This window comes from Homo sapiens, chromosome 7 (genome assembly GCF_000001405.40).
Source record: "Homo sapiens chromosome 7, GRCh38.p14 Primary Assembly".
Lineage (NCBI taxonomy): Eukaryota > Metazoa > Chordata > Mammalia > Primates > Hominidae > Homo > Homo sapiens.
Window position 1 is genome coordinate 128,296,402 of NC_000007.14, and position 19,679 is coordinate 128,316,080.

Here is a 19,679-nt window from a genome sequence, read left to right on the forward strand (position 1 = left end):
CAAAGAGAATAAAATACCTAGGAATCCACCTTACAAGGGACGTGAAGGACCTCTTCAAGGAGAACTACAAACCACTGCTCAATGAAATAAAAGAGGATACAAACAAATGGAAGAACATTCCATGCTCATGGGTAGGAAGAATCAATATTGTGAAAATGGCCATCCTGCCCAAGGTAATTTATAGATTCAATGTCATCCCCATCAAGCTACCAATGACTTTCTTCACAGAATTGGAAAAAACTACTTTAAAGTTCATATGGAACCAAAAAAGAGCCCGCATTGCCAAGTCAATCCTAAGCCAAAAGAACAAAGCTGGAGGCATCACACTACCTGACTTCAAACTATACTACAAGGCTACAGTAACCAAGACAGCATGGTACTGGTACCAAAACAGAGATACAGATCAATGGAACAGAACAGAGCCCTCAGAAATAACGCCGCATATCTACAACTATCTGATCTTTGACAAACCTGAGAAAAACAAGCAATGGGGAAAGGATTCCCTATTTAATAAATGGTGCTGGGAAAACTGGCTAGCCATATGTAGAAAGCTGAAACTGGATCCCTTCCTTACACCTTATACAAAAATCAATTCAAGATGGATTAAACACTTAAACGTTAGACCTAAAACCATAAAAACCCTAGAAGAAAACCTAGGCATTACCATTCAGGACATAGGCACGGGCAAGGACTTCATGTCTAAAACACCAAAAGCAATGGCAACAAAAGACAAAATTGACAAATGGGATCTAATTAAACTAAAAAGCTTCTGCACAGCAAAAGAAACTACCATCAGAGTGAACAGGCAACCCACAAAATGGGAGAAAATTTTCGCAACCTACTCATCTGACAAAGGGCTAATATCCAGAATCCACAATGAACTCAAACAAATTTACAAGAAAAAACAAACAACCCCATCAAAAAGTGGGCGAAGGACATGAACAGACACTTCTCAAAAGAAGACATTTAGGCAGCCAAAAAACACATGAAAAAATGCTCACCATCACTGGCCATCAGAGAAATGCAAATCAAAACCACAATGAGATACCATCTCACACCAGTTAGAATGGCAATCATTAAAAAGTCAGGAAACAACAGGTGCTGGAGAGGATGTGGAGAAATAGGAACACTTTTACACTGTTGGTGGGACTGTAAACTAGTTCAACCATTGTGGAAGTCAGTGTGGCGATTCCTCAGGGATCTAGAACTAGAAATACCATTTGACCCAGCCATCCCATTACTGGGTATATACCCAAAGGACTATAAATCATGCTGCTATAAAGACACACACACACGTATGTTTATTGCGGCACTATTCACAATAGCAAAGACTTGGAACCAACCCAAATGTCCAACAATGATAGACTGGATTAAGAAAATGTGGCACATATACACATATGCAGCCATAAAAAATGATGAGTTCATGTCCTTTGTAGGGACACGGATGAAATTGAAAATCATCATTCTCAGTAAACTATCGCAAGAACAAAAAACCAAACACCGCATATTCTCACTCATAGGTGGGAATTGAACAATGAGAACACATGGACACAGGAAGGGGAACATCACACTCTGGGGACTATTGAGGGGTGGGGGGAGGGGGGAGGGATAGCATTGGGAGATATACCTAATGCTAGATGACGAGTTAGTGGGTGCAGCGACCAGCATGTCACATGTATACATATGTAACTAACCTGCACAGTGTGCACATGTACCCTAAAACTTAAATAATAAAAAAAAAAGACAATACGCGCACAGTTGAACATAGACCCTTATCAGTAGTTCTGTTTTGCCTTTTGTCTTGTTTCCTCAGAAGCATGTGATCTTTGTTCTGCTTTTGCCCTTTGAAGCATGTGATCTTTGTACCTACTCCCTGTTTTACACCCCCTCCCCTTTTGAAACCCTTAATAAAAAACTTGCTGGTTTGAGGCTCAGGTGGGCATCACAGTCCTACTGATATGCGACGTCACCCCCGGCAGCCCAGCTGTTAAAATTCCTCTCTTTGTACTATTTCTCTTTATTTCTCAGTCGGCCGACACTTATGGAAAATAGAAAGAACCTATGTTGAAATATTGGGGGTGGGTTCCCCCAATACTTCTGTATTTTTCAGATTCTCTTTACTGAGCATATATTATTTTTACAATCAGAAAAAAATGAACGGATTTATTTTCAAATGCCCCCCATTGCTCTTCTTTAAATATACAGAATATATTCTTTACATATAAAACACTGCTCCTTCAGAGCCAAGCAAAGGATCACTCATTTTCCCCTTAACTGAGAACAAGGGCTGCACATGAACAAAACGCCTGCTTTAAAATGTACCCATGGCTGGATGCTGTGGCTCACACTTATAATCCCAGCACTTTGAGAGGCTAAGGTGGGTGGATCACTTGAGCTCAGGAGTTTGAGACCAGCCTGGGCAACATAGCGAAACTCTGTCTCTATAACAAATACACCAAAAATTAGCTAGGCATGGTGGTGTGTGCCTGTAGTCTCAGCTATTTGCAAGGCTGACGTGGGAGGATCACTAGAGCCCAGGAGGTCGAGGCTGCAGTGACCTGTGATTACACCACTGCACTCCAGCCTGGGAGACAGAGTGAGACCCTCTCTCTCAAAAAAAAAAAAAAATGTACCCATATTTGTTTTCATCAGGTATGGTAAGATGACAGACACAGAGAAAACTATCTCTGCAAGAAGAGTTTGTTATGCAGTTCCCAGGAGGAGAGGTGTGTCACGCCTTGCAGGGCCACACAGGAAGAACTTGGGTCAGCCAAGAAGCAGAGGGGGTGAGGGAAAAGCACGATCCAGCGCCTTTAATGTAGTTTCCAGCAGAAAGGCAAGGCAAGGCAGGGAAGCAGGCTTAGGATTGGCTAATCTGTATAACTTTGGCAGGCCCTGGCTATAGGGATTGTCCCTAGTTGTCCCATGCCTGGCCCTGGAGTGATTTAGGGCAGGGGGAATATTGGCTTGCTGTGTCAGAGTTTGATAAAGGAGGTGACTGGGGGTGTGGGCTCTGGATTGACTGGTTTGCATACGAAAGGCACGCTCGACCAAGTTGTTTACTCTCTCCCCAAAGTAGCTAGCCCTGGGAGGGGCAGTCTCTCCAGGATAATGCATTATAAAAACAACAACAGCACCTGATTAGTATAATGACATATGTTTCTCTTCACAGCAGTTTGTAATAGCAAAGGTTGGAAACCGTTGAATGGGATTTCCATCACATAAAGAACTGGTTATGTAAATTATGTTACACTGATACAATCCAATGAGCCTCCCTTCAGAGAGAGGCACCCTCATGGCCTAATTACTTCTTTAAGGACCCCATCTCAATACTATCACATTGGCAATAACCTGAATTTTGGAAGGGACACATTCAAACCATAGCAGAGATGTAATCAAATTAAGATGAAATCATTGGGCTGGGCCTAAGCCAATATGACTGGTGTCTTTATAAGAAGAGGGAAATTTGGACATAGACCTATAGACACAGGGAGAAGATGGCCATGTGACAACGAGGCAGAGACTGCAGTGATGCATCTATATGCCAGGCAACGCCAAGAAATTCCTCATGAAGGAACCAACCTTGCCAACACTTTGATTTTAGACTTCTAGCCTCCAGAACCGTAAGGTGATAAATTTCTGTTGTTTAAGCCACCCAGCCTGTGGTACTCTCTTACAGTAGCCCTCCTGACTAATATAGGCCCTTTCTCAACTTTCCCTAGAAGCCCAGGTTTCCTTGCTACAACCCTGGCAGAGGCTTTGGCACATTTCACCCCTCCTCTCTTTGTGATTGGTTTTCACAAAGAAGCTCAAAGTGGAGGAATGATCTCTGGACATGAAGCCTGAGGACCATGCAAGCTCCTTCCTGCCAGAGGCTCTGTTCTGGGTTCTACCTGACCTGGACTCTGAGGGCTCTGAGCAGGGAAGGGTTAGAACCCAGCGTGGATCAAACATTTGAGATGAATCAGCACTGATAGCTGGAATGTGAGCTCCCAAGTGGCTTGAGCTCACTCTGCTCAGGACCCTCTGCAGCTCCTGGGGGAACACTGGCACAGACGGGTGCACAGTTAATATTCAGTTAACACCGGCTGGCTGAATGAAGGGCGAGCTATCTTGAGCCTGACTTTTCTGATCCTTCAATGAGCATGCTAACATCATCCAACCCCTGACCTTGTGGTGAGGATCAAAGACGTTAATGCCCACTAAACGCTTTCTACGATGCCTGGAAACAACTGTTATCAATACTGTGCTATGTTTTAGTAAAGAGGGCTGTTCCCTGAGAGCAAAATTGGCAAGTGGGTCTCACCTCCCATGCTGACTCCAATTGTTGGGTGCGGTTGCATGGATTGATGTCAAAAGCCTCCCAAGGCCCAGTCTGGGCCAGATGCAGGGACTGTCATGATCCCTTAGCAGTGTTTGCTCTGGAAAAGGAGGAACAGGGACCTGGGTGCCATCTCTTCACAGCGCTCCACCCCTAGGGCCTGCTTAAATGGCACAGCCAGCTCCTCAGAGAGACAGGACACACTCTCCTTCTGCCTGCAGTTGTGAGGAAAGAAGGGGCACTGAGGAGGATGGGTCACCCCGGGAGCAGAGCCTGGCTCATATCCTGGTATCCCTGCAGAGGCTGGAGGTGGGGCCAGCACCACCTGAGGACATGTAGCCTTCCCAGGATTCTGGCGTGTGTTCCCATCCCTAGCAGGAAAGAAGTGGAAATTAGCCAATCACCCTGGAAGTGGGCAACCAGTCTTTCTCCCCTTTCCTGTGAATTCACTCAGGACACTGGGGACAAAAGACATCACAGACCCTATCTCCCGTGCTCTTTTACAGTGGCTATTTCATTTAGTACTAGGGGGCTTTTTGCCTGTATTTTATAAATGAGCAAAGAGGACTGGAGGGTCTGAGTGATTTGTCCAGGGTCATCCTCTGTCCTTTGGCTTTTACCTGTGTCACCACAGCCTCCTGGGGAGATGGCTGTGAAAGTGGGCAAAGGGTGAGTCTCAGCTTCACAGGGCTGCAGCATCAGCAGCCTCTCTTGCCTGTCCGTCAGCACTGACAGGGGCAACACCTGGCCTGGCACAAGGCTCTCCGCTTCTTGCCCTCAGGACTTGGAGTCTCTTGGAAGGAGCCTCAGCCCTTCTCTTGGTTCCTGCTTTTGTCTCTAGCCTTCCTAGAGTAGCTCAGATCAGTTCACACCCCTCTACCCACGACTACCCAGGAAAGGACATGATCCCTCATTAAGACCCAGCTATTGCCTAAGGGTCACTGAGGGCCTCAAACCCCAGAGGCTCTGTGGCAGGCACCTGGGAGCCCACTTGGCGGGCCTTGCCCTGGCCCAGACATCACAGACCACTCTCACTGCACTGGCTATTAAGTGCCTGCTCTCTACTAGGGATTCCTAGGGGGTGGCCAAGAGAAGGAAAGACACCCCCACAGGAAGGATGGGCCCAGAAACTGACTTTCCATGGCTCCGACGAGGGGTCCTGAGGCACTCTATCGAAGTGCAAGTCCCTGAATCTGTGTCCCAAGCTCTGAAAATGCAAGAGGTGCTTGGAGCAAACAGGGAGTGTCCTGTCACTGAAGGTCTGCAAGCAGAGGGGTAAGGGACTGTTTGCCTCCTACAGATTTCCCTTCTTTCTCTTCTTCTGGGCCTCTGGGCCAGAGACAGGCATTTTACTTGATGCGATCATCCTCAGCACATGCCTGACACATAGTAGGTGCTCAGTAATTGTTAGCTGTTGTTATTAACCATTATGTGAGTTTAGAGTGCCCGTCCTATTGCAGAGAGGGAGAGAGCAGAGACAAATGGTGATTCTAAGAACCTGTCCCCTTCCCTGGGACTCACTCCAGTGGCTGGTCGCCAGTTGCACCCACACGCGGCTGGCTGCGGGCAGGAGAGCTGGGCTCATTCGTTCTGGCAGCTGTCCCTGCAGATGAGGATCGAGGGTATGTGACTGCCTGAGCAGCTACTTCAATCCTAATGTCCCTTTAATAGCTCTCGTCAAATTGCCACAGCTCTCCCCAGAGATTTTCATGGCTATGGAAAATAAATAGCCATTATCTGACCTCCAGGGGAATGAAGATGTCTGCAGAATTCGGGGAAAAGCAGTTATAAAACTGAGTAGAGCCAGCGCACCCTTTCCCTATTAGCAACCTCTAAGGGAGTCCTAGCTACTGCCTAGGAAATCACAAAATAAATGTATTCACTCCTCAGACTCTCTTTTTTCACCTATTAGTATGTATATGAGTACATTTGGCTTGTGGTAGATCAGGAGAGAGAAAGAAAGAAAAAACAACTACAAAAATATGTAATGATTAGTTAGTCCAGGGGTAGCAGGAAAAGAAGCTGGTCAAGTAAAGGGTTTAATCCTTTTTTATTTTTATTATTTTTTTAGACAGGGTATCACGCTGTTGCCCAGGTTGGAGTACAGTGGTACAACCATAGCTCACTGCAGCCTCAAACTCCTGGGCTCAAGCAATCCTCCTGCCCCAGCCTCCCGAGCAGCTGGGACTACAGTGCACACCACCACACAAGGCTAATTTTCAAATTTTGGGCAGTTTTACTATGTTGCCCAGGCTGGTCCTGAACTCCTGGCCTCAAGGGATCCTCCCATCTCAGCCTCCCATAGTGCTGGGGTTACAGGTATGAGCCACCAAGCCCAGCTGGAAGTTTTTAAAACGTTTCAACATTCAAAGAATGTGAGAATGAAAATGCCCTTCCTTTTCTTACCACCTAATTTGGAAAAGAGAAACTATTTTTTTAATCCCAAAAACATTTGGTATAGCTGGCAAAAAGTGTTCTGTTCTTATATATGAGACAGTTCCTGAAATAGGCCCTAGAGACAGCACTCACGGCCAAGTGGGACCTTGCTCTGGTACTAGCTCAGGTGGCCAAGGGGTTTCAGGAGAGGGTCTGGACTTCCCCACATCCTGCTTTCATCAGCTCTAAGACTAGGTGGTGACATCTGCTTCTCAATAACCTTCACCAGGCTTGCTGTGAAGGTCACCTGAGATAAGAGACGTGAAAGGATGCTGAAGATGCAAAAGCCTAAGCCAGGCAGCCCTGCTTGGCCTGGCCTCCTGGAAAGGGGCAATGCCCCAGCCCAGCACACAACCAGGGCCTCATGATGACAATTCTGCAAAACTGGTCCTTGGCTCGTCCTCCCTTGCCAGGATGAGACTGTGCAAAGCCCCACCCACAGGCAGCTGCTCCAGGTGTCGTTTAAGGGCTCCAAATTCCTTCCAACTAAAAGTATCTTTCCATCCCTGTTGGTATAGTGGTTAGGGGAAAAAAAATTAAAAGAAAATGAACAATGTATTTTCCACGTCAAGATGCCTGAACTTCCCATAACAGCTGTCACTTTAAGAAGCCATAAGAGAAAGGGCCAGGTCTCCATAGGTCATTATTCTTCCCAGGCGGGGTCAACTTCCTCTATTAACACCCATGCACGTATCAGAAGCTACCCATGAAAGGCCAAGGGCCTACAGCAAAGCTCCCATGACTGGAAAGTATTTAAGCATAAGGAACAGAATAGTTTCGAGGGAAGGATAAGAAAGAGAGTCGGGAAGGCTGGGCAGAACACTACTTGGACAACTAAAAAAGCAAGTGGGGACATCTCAAAGAGTGGGCTGGCCACTCCCAGAACCTGTGTAAGCAGGAAACAAAAAGCATTTATTGCTGGTAAATGCTTAACAACTGGCTCTCTGGGATAAAAATGTATATATGTACAGAAATTTATTATAAATTTCATTGATAAAAATGATGTGCAGCACATAATTTATAAATAAAATATACAATGCCATTTATTGTAATTCTAGAAAAGTTTTTTACAGAATGCTTTTGTTGATTTTTGCTGACTCTTCTATCCAACCTGTTTGCAATTCAACCATGATATGACACAACCAGACTACAAATAAATGTTTGTTACTATCTGATTCAACAAAGCAGTCACTCATTTCATGGAATGGATATGGGCTGTTACTCAGTGAAAAGACACATGAGATGGTTCAGTGCTAACTCACCCTTCTGACAGAAAATGCCAGAAAGTTTCCACCCCATTGACAGGCTTGGAGTCTTGAGTACCATCTGGGTGGGTGGAGCTGGCACTGGCACGAAACCTCTCCACTGCTATCCTGACAGAGATGGGGCATGTACTTCCCAGGGCCACTTGCCAACCCAGGGAGGTTTTCCATCTTGCTGGTTTGGTGAGGGAGGCTGCTTTCAGATTTCAAGTGGACACTGCTGGCCTGGATAGGGCTGAGGGGCTCTGCCTCCAAGAGGTGTTCTTCGCTTTGTGGCATTACCTCTCTGAAGTACTTTAGAGTACTTTACAGGCCTGCTTTACTCCTCAGAATCCTGCTGCAGAGCTGAGGGCTGGATAATTTCATGTTCTCTGGCAACTGATGGCCACTGTGGTACCAGAGGAGGGATGTATGTCTGGGCACTTTCAAAAGTATGTTATTAGAAAGTTGCGCATCACGGCCGGGCACGGTGGTTCATGCCTGTAATCCCAGCACTTTGGGAGGCCGAGGTGGGTGGATCACCTGAGGTCAGGAGTTCGAGACCAGCCTGGCCAACACTGGTGAAACCCCGTCTCTACCAAAAATACAAAAATTAGTGGGGCGTGGTGGCGCACGCCTGTAATCCCAGCTACTCCGGAGGCTGAGGAAGAACTGCTTGAACCTGGGGGGTGGAGGTTGCAGTGAGCTGAGATCATGCCACTGCACTCCAGCCCTGGGCAACAAGAATGAAACTCTGTCTCAAAAAAAAAAAAAAAAAAAGAAAGTTCTGCATCAATCCTGTTGTCTCACTGTAAATAGCATAAGAACAATGTTCTGGCCCCTCCCTCCACTTGAGTTGCCAGGTTCTACGACAGGGTCTTCCCCACCATGGACCAGAATACAAGATAGCATTTTTTCTGCAGTAGTATCCAAAGCAAAAATTTCATCAGAAGGATGGCATTGGAGTCTCTTTCAGTTGAAAAGTGCATGCAGACAATTGAGTGTCAGATCCAGGGGAGAGGAAAAGGCGGCAGAGAACTAGGGAGACAGGTCGAGAGTAAGGAGATGAAGGGACATTTGAGACTCTGAATTTTTTCTTTTTTTGTAGAGGTGGGATCTTGCTATGTTGCCCAGGCTAGTCCTGAACTCCTGGGCTCAAGTGATTCTCCCACTTTGACCTCTCAAAGTGCTGGGAATATAGGCATGAGCCACCATGCCAAGCCGAGGGAAGCTGTTTCTTACAGCTGGGTTTCTTGCACATCCAGACTTCACATCCCGCCTTGTGCATACAGACTGGGAGTCCCTTGGGTAGCGGGGGACAGGAATGGGATTGGCTTTGGCCATGAGGCAGATTAAGCAACACCTAAGGGGAGTTGCTAGTGGACCAAGGCCCAGACCACAATGCAGGGGAGAGGGAGAAAAGGGGTGGAAGAGTGACAGGAACTGATATTTTTTTAGCAGTTACTATGAGAGGAATAAAACTGGACAGGAAAGAAAGAGAAAATACATAAAACAAGGACAGGTTGTTCGGCATCTCTTCAGGAGATGACTGTCTGGTACATCCTTTACCACCATTATCCTCAATCACCAATCACTAAGCATTGCCATGTACCAGGCCCAGGGGCTGGGACTATGGGAGCTAGTTCTTATAGTGGCTCATGATCTACTTGGGAAGGCAAGACCTAAAGAAATGACAAGTAAGCCACAATGGCATATGCTTTGTCGAATGAGAGGGTACCAATCAGCGAGTGTGCCGGGGACTTAGAGGAAGGGGTCACAATGCCCTGGGATGGCTGAGGTCCCCACGGAGATGTTGGGCCTTGAGCCAGAACTTGAGTGCTGGATAACACTTGAGTGGAAAGGAGGGGCACAGAGACTGTCCAGATTGGAATGGACAAGGCATAGCAGAAAGTACGGTGGTACACTCAAGGCACTGTGAACAGCAGTTTATTATTATTTTTTCCTTCATGCTGTCTTTTGGGGTCCTTAGGAAATGACTCTGTTGTCCTTCACAAGCCCAGCTAGGCCCTGGAACAAATGGCCTTTAGAGAGTTCAACAGTATGAAACTCCTACTACGAGTAAATCAATGTTAGGTGTTGTGGGGTATGTGGAAAAGTGAAAAAATAATAGTCCCTGCCTTAAAGGACAAGAAATGATTTTCCCTTTATCAAATGTCCAGGGAAGGAAACTGTGGGATGACACTGTGGCAGTGAAGTCTCACATCTGATAAAAGGCAGTGGGCTCTGGGCAGCATGGACAAGTTTAAGAAACACTGGATTTGCCATCTATCAAGATGCTCCATTTAGGGGTGGTCCAAAAGGTCTTTCAGTAACTCAGCAGTTCTCTTCTCAGAATTAGTTCCCAGTCTGTGCCTTCCAATCTTCCCAGTATATTCCTTTACCAGCACAAAAACTCATGTACAGCCAATGACCAGTTCAGAATAGATGCCAAAGTAATCAGACTATACCAGTAGCTCACCCCATGTCTGGTCACCAAGTAAGCCATCACAGACTCTGCAAATAATCCTGGAAAGGAAGAGGTACCAGGACAAGAAGGAAAGAACTAAAACAAGGATGTGAATAACTTCTAAACTGGTCAGCCTTGGACAAAAGGAAATCTGGAAATCTCGACTTGGCCTGAGAGAAACCTCATCCTGGCCCTTAAAGTGCCAATTAAGGCTGAGTTGAAAAGGAGCTGGGCATCATCAAACTGCAAACAAACTTAGCTTAGGCACCCACAGTGTGATGATGTGTTTATTTCCATGAAGGAGCAGTCTATGGAGAAGTGCAGGAACTTTCAAAGTTGCATGGGCAGAGCTGCTTCTTATATGACAGAATTGGCAGCTGCCTGTCACTTCACAGTGGGTCACATGAATATGAAGCAGAGAACTGGCTGTGTGCGTCAGCAGGGGAGCTTAAGACTGCAGATTCTGGGGAATCAGCACTCACTGTGACACATGTGATCCTCTGTCTCCTCAGACAACTGAAGGATGATGAGAAGGGGATCTCTGGAGCCTTGACCTTCTGGGCCCCGAATTTCTAGCTAGAAAACCTCTTTTCAAGACAAAAACATACCAAAGTACATTTTGAAGTATTTCGAAGAATGAATCACATGCCCTAACTTTATAATAGAGGAAGGCACAGATCTCATTTTTGTGACAGGTGAAACATAATCCTTGCCACAGGTTAACTCCAGAAGAAGGAACTGTACAGCTGAACAGAGCAGATTCTTAGAAACTACAAACTAACCAACAAACAAACAAATAAGGCAAAGAACAGCTGCACATCATCTTAAGATTCCTTATTTAAAGGTTGTATCTCTAAGCCAGGCTATTATATAATCAAGCAGGAAAATACTACTAAAACTTGATAGTTTTGACTGGTGGCCTTGTCTTGGATGTTAAGAAAAAATTTGCTGTTGTTTTTCAAAATAATAGAGATGGGGGTCTCACTATGTTGGCCAGGTCGGTCTCAAACTCCTGACCTCAAGCAATCCTCCCACCTCCCGAAGTGCTGCAATCATAGGTATGAGACTCTGTGCCCCACCTGTTGTTTTTTAACCAAGCAATCTGCAACTCAACTTTCATGTTAATTCAGAAAACTCCATTTCCTGACACATCAGGCCCTGAAGTGAAGGAGAAGTGAGCACAACTCTCACTGCACTAAAATTCCCAAGGCAAGGAGTCAATGGAGCTGACCAAATAGCCCATGGTAAGGTGTTCCAAAGGAAGACACCATATATAGAATTTGACTATTAAGAAAGGGAAGATTCAACCTCATATAAAGAACTCTTTAAAGAACTGTACAACAGCTCTCCAAGCAAGTGAATGAGGTTTTAACATACTGTTAAGTTGTTAAAAGAAATATTTGGATCTAAGAGAATCTGACAATGTTATCTGAATGAACACCAATTTTGATCTATCCTAAGTGTTAAGATATATTTTTGAATGTTAAAGATATTCGTGTACTAGGGAAAAAAGAGTGGTGAGCAGACGGAGAGATGGCCAAGGAAAAACAGATCACCTGACTGGCAGGTTATAGCTATTGTGACACTCTTAATAAAGTCCCTTACTTCCTCCACACTGTACAGACCAGGCTGAGAAAGACATGTTGCCAGGCTACCGTAAGAACATTTGACAGCCCAAGTCATGTCTCGAGGTGAACTTGGAGATAAATCACCTGTCCTTTCGATCTCTCCAAAAGGTCTAAATATTTCCATGGCCTCTCCTTCATCCATTTCTAAACCAAAGGCATTTCAGAGCATTCATGGGTTCCCCAAGATATTGCGATGAAATAACCATGTCTCAACCAGGCTCATGCCTGTAATCCCAGCACTTCAGGAGGCTGAGGTGGGCAGATCACAAGGTCAGGAGTTTGAGATCAGCCTGGCCAACATGGTGAAAACCCGTCTCTACTAAAAATACAAAAATTAGCCGGGCGTGGTGGCAGCACCTGTAATCCCCGCTACTCGGGAGGCTGAGGCAGGAGAATCGCTTGAACCCAGGAGGCGGAGGTTGCAGTGAGCCAAGATCATGCCATTGCACTCCAGCCTGGGCAACAGAGCAAGACTGTCTCAAAAAAAAAAAAAAAAAAGAAATAACCATATCTCTAGCTCAGCAATGGTTCTGTCAAAGCATTATTTGTAACACTCAACTAGACTAAGCAATCAAGAATTTTGGGCCACGTTCTCAACTTTTTCTCTTGCCTACTGAATACTGTTTCTTCCTTTCCTACCTTATTTTTTTCATTCAACAAATATTTATTCAATACTTACTACGTGCCTGGGTCAGTACTAGGTGCTGTGTCTACAGGAGTGAACAAGAGGGATAAAGTCCCTCTCACAAAGCATACATTCTAACTGGAGAGACAAACAATTTCAGATAGAGATTAGTGCTAGAAAGAGACAAATGATTTCAGATAGAGATTAGTGCTAGAAAGAAACAGGGAAGCAGGCCAGGCGTGGTGGCTCACGCCTGTAATACCAGGACTTTGGGAGGTCGAGGTGGGCGGATCACCTGAGGTCAGGAGTTCAAGACCAGCCTAGTCAACATGGTGAAACCCCATCTCTACTAAAAATACAAAATTTAGCCAAGAATGGTGGCGTGCACCTGTAGTCCCAGCTACTTGGGAGGGTGAGGCGGGAAAGTCGCTTGAACCCGGGAGGTGGAGGTTGCAATGAGCTGAGACAGCGCCATTGCACTCCAGCCTGGGCGACAGAGTGAGACTCCATCTCAAAAAAAAAAAAAAAAGAAGAAGAAACAGGGAAGCAGATTTCAGTAAGGGGGCAAGATAGAGGGGAGGGGAAGAAAAGCCCTACTTTAGATAGTCTGGGAAGAGCTCCAGGAGGAGGCGACAACTAGTGGAGATCTGAGTGACAAGTAAAAGATGCAAGGGAAAAACTCTCCAGGCAAAGGGAACGGATACAAAGGCTCTGAGGTGGTCAAGAGTCAAGAGATGGAAGGAAGGCCTGTGTAGCCAAAAGTGAATGAAGAAGAGAGTGGATAAAGACAAGCAGAGGTGATAGGGCTGAAGAGCCCAGGGAATCAAATGTTATAGGAAGACAAGATTTCAATCAAAGTGAGATGTCAAACCCCTGGAGTTTTTCAGTAGGTGTGAAGCCATCTTAAGGGGCAGACTTAATGAGGATCAAGTGTCCTCATTAAGGAGGACTTAGAGAGCTAGTGGATACGATGAAAAGGGAGGTGCTCTATGAGAGAAATGCAGGTCATCGCTAACCAGGCTAGTGTCTTTAGGCCACTGCAGGCCAATTCAACTGGAAATCCCCTCATCTGACAAACACATAAGTGCTGCTCTCTGTCAGGCCCCACCTCCCCCCATTCTTTTCCAAGTGTCTCCGCCTGCAGCGATTAGGTTAGAAAGCATTTCTCTCTGCTCTCGCTTAGACAGTTCCTGCAGTGTGTAAGACTACAGAGCTGAATTAGGAATGTCAAAGAATGTTCATACATAATAAAGGAGTCACACATATTAGAAATGACGTTGTTACTAAAAAGCCACACAATATCTCATTTAGAGAATATGCTTAACAAAATATACATCTTAAAAATTCAGCACTCCAGAATGCTTTTTCAGGTGTTTCCATTTGAGAAATAAAGAATAAAAATTGGTAATAATTATAGACACAACTTCATACAATAATCTGGATAATATGCAAGAAGCATCATGTTGACTTTCAGATATTTCTCTTTGTGGCTAACGAACCACACATCAAAGGATGGACCAAAGTTCAGATGTACACAGTCCAGGGCACCTCCGAGCACAGTGGCAGTGCCCTTGGGGATTTTCTTTCCCTCAGTGAGAGACACGGGGGATGGGGAGGAGCCCAGGAGTGTCACCAGAAAGTACACAACCCAGCTTCTTACCCAGCCTGCTGCCATCATCAACTATCAAACCATTTGCTCCTCTTTGCAAGAGGTGCTCCTTTAGAAGGTCCCAATAATTTCTGCTTATATTGTTCGACCAGCTGGTTGAAGCGGGTTTCCGTCTTATTTCCCTTAGCTTTTTTCCTAGATACCTACAAATGAAAGGATTAGAAACATAATATAATCAATTTCAAAGACTATATATCACCTTACCCTCAGGCCACCCAAGAGAGAAAGTAAGTGGGACAGAGATCATATCTACCAGAAAGGGGTAGGTTTCTAGAGAGAGACTCTTAGAGAGAAAGGCTCAAACAGAATCATCCACTGGTAAGAAATTAGACCAAGAGTGAGTGCACAGGGAGCAGGGCCTGACTAACCTCCCTGTCTGCTGGGGACTCAGGGGCCTCTCTTACTCTAGCTCCCAAAGGCTCACTTTAGCCTCAAAGCAGATGAGTCAGCACAGAGTCCGGCCATTCTTGCTTGCCTGTTCCCTCCCCAAGAACACTGCTCATGGGATTTCAGAGATCTCTATACTATAGTACGGTATACGTCAGAAACTTCCCAGACACAGATTTCTTGAGTAGGATGGGAAGCTAATGCTGCTTTTACCCTTAAAGGAAAGAGACTAGGGAAGGGGAGAAGCAAGCTTGACTTCAAGTGTTCAAGAATGTAGGACCACCGTTTTCTACTAAAAGGAACTAAGGCTCCTTGGGAAAATGGCTAATGTCAGGACTGGGGAAGAGGTACCTGAGCTGAGCCTGGGACATCCTGCACTAGAAAGCAAGGATACTACCAGACAAATACGCCACATCAGAAAGACTCAGAAGCCAACCTGCAGGGGCTTCTGCCAGCCTTACACAGAGTAAGAATAATGACAGTATTTGAAACACATCAAGCATATGAAAACTCAGGATTTCATAATACTAAAAAATGAGCCAGTATGGCAACAGCTCATTACTCTGAAAACTAACAGAGAGAGAGAAAAAAAAAATCAAGCATTTATCCTGTCTTTCCTACATAAATGATATTTTGTGGTAAGCAAATAATTGACAAAGGAAGATTTTTCTTTCTAGGGTTCTAATTAAAAATGCAAAAGGATAGAAGTTTAAATAATCAGCATTCTGTAACCCATAATGAAATAATGGATCTGGTAACACTCATCAATAACTGCTAAGGCCATTACATGAAAGGCTAATTGGGAACTTCATCAATGGAGGGATAAGGCAGATAATCCTCAAATCTACTGATCAATCCCAGAATCACTAAAAATGGGCAACCAGGTAGTATGTGCCTCAGGCGATATAAGGAAACACACACACCACCTATGAAATACTCTCTTCAAGAAAACTGAACTTGAGGCCAAGCACGGTGGCTCACACCTGTAATCCCAGCACTTTGGGAGGCCGAGGCAGGCGAATCACCTGAGGTCAAGAGTTCAAGGCCAGCCTGGTCAACATGGTGAAACCCCGTCTCTACTAAAATACAAAATTAGCTGGGCATGGTGGCGCATGCCTGTAATTCCAGCTACTCGGGAGGCTACTCCTGGAGGCGGAGGTTGCAGTGAGCCGAGATTGCGCCATTGCACTCCAGCCTAGGCAACAAGAGCAAAACTCCACCTCAAAAAAATTTTTAAAAAAAGAAAACTGAACTTGATCAAGCTACCAGACCGAACTAACTACCAGATGACAGGCAATATGGGGGTGTCACAGAGACAAGTTAAATGACACCACAAAGAAGCAAATGGCTAAATTAAAAATGTAACACAAATGACCTGGTTTCTCCAATAAATGAATAGCATGGAAAAAAGGGTGGTAAGGGAGAATGGATATTAGAGAAGAAAAAAATGATTTAAGAAATTAAAAACCCAAGTATAATGTGGGACTTTGGATCCCGACTCATACTAACCAAGTATAAAAAAATTTTTTTCAGGCAATTTGGCAAATTTTAATATGGATTTAATATATCATTTGTGTAGTAGATGATAAAGGGCTTATTAGTTTCATTAGATATTATAATGGCATAAGGTGTGTGTGTTTAAGGCCTGATCAGTTAGAGATGCACTCTGAGGTTTTTCTGAGCAATATGTTTCATTTTCATATGAGACGCATTTACATGTGAAATGGGCTTTGCTTTAATATACTCTAGTGGGGAAAGCATGTTATGGGGAATATGTAAAACAAGGAGACTGCTGAAACACAGGAACAGATACGTGGAGGTTCATTTTACTTTTTTCTCTCCACTTTTAAGATTGTATAGCTCAACATTCTCTAAAAAGCTACCGTCCTACACAGAAGTCTTTCTTTTTTTCTTTTTTGCTCAACTAACCAAGGTACAAACATGGCTACGACCTGGCAGAACCATGCCATACCAAAGCTGTATGTCCTGCAGAACTCACCTGCTCGGACGATAATTGCTGCTTCTCCTGCTTCCACTGGTTTATCTGTGGCTTTGGCTTTTTGGGATGGACGGGCTTCACTTTGCCTTTGTCCCGCAACCTGAAATAACATGGCTGAGTGTCACCTTGAGTCCTTCTTCTAATTTGACACCCCTAGGTTCTCTTTGTACACTGGCCCTTCCCAAGCCCATGATAAGTGAAGTCATTCTAAAAAGGGATACTGCAACAGACCCTCTGAAAGCTCAACATTTGTATACTTAGGACTGCTTGATGCCAGGAGTTTGAGACCAGCCTATGCAACATAGCAATCCCCCGTCTCTACTACAACGAAATTAAAAAGTCCCAGCTACTCAGGAGGCTGAGGAAGGTGGATTGAGTCCAGGAGTTGAGGTTACAGTGCGCTATGATCATGCCACTGCACTCTAGCCTGGGCAACAGAGCAAGACCCTGTGACATGGTTTGGATCTGTGTCCTTGCTCAAATCTCACGTTGAATTGTAATCCCCAGTGTTGAAGGCTGGGCCTGGTGGGAGGTGACTGGATCATGGGGATGACTCCTTCATGAATGGTTTAGCGCCATCCCCTCAGTGCTGTTCTCGTGACGGTGAATGAGTTACCACAAGATCTGGTTGTTTAAAACACTCCCCCCTGCTCCTGGCCATGTGATGTGCCAGCTCCCACTTCACCTTCCACTATGATTAAGTTTCCTGAGGCCTCCCTAGAAGATGAGCAGCTGCTGTCATGCTTCCTGTACAGCCTGTGGAACCATGAGCCAATTAAGCCTCTTTTCTTTTCTTTTTTTTTTTTGAGACGGAGTCTCGCTCTTTCGCCCAGGCCAGAGTGCAGTGGCGTGATCTCGGCTCACTGCAAGCTCCGCCTCCCGGGTTCACGCCATTCTCCTGCCTCAGCCTCCCCAGTAGCTGGGACTACAGGCGCCCGCCACCGCACCCAGCTAATTTTTTGTATTTTTAGTAGAGACGGGGTTTCAGCATGTTAACCAGGATGGTCTCGATCTCCTGACCTCGTGATCCACCCGCCTCGGCCTCCCAAAGTGCTGGGATTACAGGCGTGAGCCACCGCGCCCAGCCAAGCCTCTTTTCTTTATAAATTACCCAGTCTCAGGTATTTCTTTATAGCAGTGGAAGAACTGAATAATACACTGTCTCTAAAAATAAAATAAATAAATAAATAAAACCCCATGGATATCTCAAAAACCTTCATTTATTTAACAAATATTTTGTAAAGATTTACTTTTGTAGAGCACTAATCTGCTGTCCCAAACAGAAACTACAACTGAACCTCAAGTATGTGGTCTCAGCTGGCAGAGATGGCCATCTGGACAAGAGGAAGCTCTTCAAAAGAGGAGAAAAGGGGCACAAAAGCCTGCCCTAGGAGGCCCCTCTGCCATTGATCTAAGAGTGACATCTCTGATGGTGTTGAAGACTCGCGTGTTAACCCCATGTGTGGGAATACATAGCACCAAACATCCTTTTCAACCAAACAAATGCCACAAAGAGAAAATAACTCAGCAAAAACAAACCCGCTTAGAACCCACCCACTGTTCTGTGCTTCTGCCCTCCTGCATCTCACCTGATTTTGGGGCCTCGGTGTGAGGGGAGCGCCAGGACCTTTCTTCTCTTCTTTCCATCAGGCAGCTCCACCTGCTCCACTTCAGCCTTGGTCTGGAACCCGGTCCATGAGGTAGAGCCCGCCTTTCTCTTCTGCTCTGGGGGCACCTTGCTTTGTTCCTCTGTGTGGTGTTGAGCTGCCTTCTGTTGCTGGTCTTTTGCAGGCTCTGGTTGCCCCTTCTGAGGCTCACCAGTTGCAGGCTTGGATCTCATTTTTTGCTGCATAAAACAAGAAAATGCCATCTGGTTTCTGGATGAGCTTTGTTTGCTGCAAATACTCAGCAGAAGATGAGCTTTATGTGAGCTAGATGAAAGAAGAGGAATTCTTCCCCCACACAATTGGAGACTAGAGGAAAGTGAATACATGTAGATCACAAGCCCTGCCACAGTAACAGATGGTTACTGGGTGGGGGGCACAAAATAACCATTCCCCTTCCCATAACACAGAAATAAGGGAGAGTGCATGCCCAAAATTCAAAAGTCAGTAGGTGGGACAATTATCAAAGGTGTAACCTATGTAGAAGGAGAATACAAGAAGAAAGCAAGCAACAGAAAAGATAATGAAGTAATAAGGGCTGAGAATTTTTCAAAACTAATGACAGTCACTAAACCACAGATCTAGGAACTCAGAGAAGACCAAATAAGATAAATACTAAACAATTTACAACCAGTCATATCATAGACAAACTGCAGAAAATCAAAGATAAAATCTTGAAAGAAGCCAGACAGGGGAAAAATTTTACCTATAGAGGAACAAGGATGAGATTACATCAAATCTCTCTCTCTTTTGTTTTTAATAGGCACCCTCCCAAACCAGAGTAGATTGAGAGAGATTTCCAAGACTTCTCTTCAGAAACCATGTAAGCAAGAAGGGAGTGAAGTGAGATATTTAATATTTAAATTTTTAAAAGAAAAAAAAATCACCAACCTACAATCCTGTATCCGATAAACTTATCCTTCAAAAGTGAAGGAAAAGACTTACTCAGACAAAAGAAAATGGAGAGAATTTGTTGCCAGTAGACCTGTCTGCAAGAAATGCGAAATAATCTCTTCAGAGAGAAGAAAAATGACATAGGTCAGAAACTGATCGTTTTCAAGAAAGGAAGAACATCAGGAATGGAATAAATGAAGTAAAGACGACAAGAAAAAGATGCTGTGGGAAGGAAGGCATCAAGGAAGTTATAGAAGTATTTGCACTGAAGTGGAAGAAACAGAAGATTCAAGTGAAATTAATGTAATGATAAGTGTGTGTTGTTCTTCCCTTTCACCTTAGAAATCT

At 44.9% G+C, this 19,679-nt stretch overlaps 1 protein-coding gene and 1 pseudogene across 2 annotated transcripts in view, besides 1 other annotated feature; one reads left to right on the plus strand and one right to left on the minus strand.

Annotated features, from left to right (window-relative positions):
* Positions 1,284-19,679, minus strand: part of RBM28 (RNA binding motif protein 28) — a 46,224-nt gene continuing 27,828 nt past the window's right edge. For both annotated transcript variants that reach the window (NM_001166135.2, NM_018077.3), the window contains 3 exons: positions 18,363-18,619; positions 16,774-16,873; positions 1,284-14,530 (listed from right to left, as the gene is read on the minus strand). In NM_001166135.2, coding sequence (NP_001159607.1) covers positions 14,396-14,530; positions 16,774-16,873; positions 18,363-18,619 — 492 coding nt within the window. In that variant the 3' untranslated portion in view covers positions 1,284-14,395. The remainder of the gene's footprint in view (positions 14,531-16,773; positions 16,874-18,362; positions 18,620-19,679) is intronic.
* Positions 2,815-3,109: an enhancer, noted in NCBI's record as "tiled region #322; K562 Activating non-DNase unmatched - State 7:EnhWF". NCBI's record gives its function as "activates a minimal TATA promoter and a strong SV40 promoter by Sharpr-MPRA in K562 cells {active_cell/tissue: K562}" and the evidence as "EXISTENCE:reporter gene assay evidence [ECO:0000049][PMID:27701403]".
* On the plus strand, positions 10,307-11,184 carry LOC100418961 (aurora kinase A pseudogene; annotated as a pseudogene).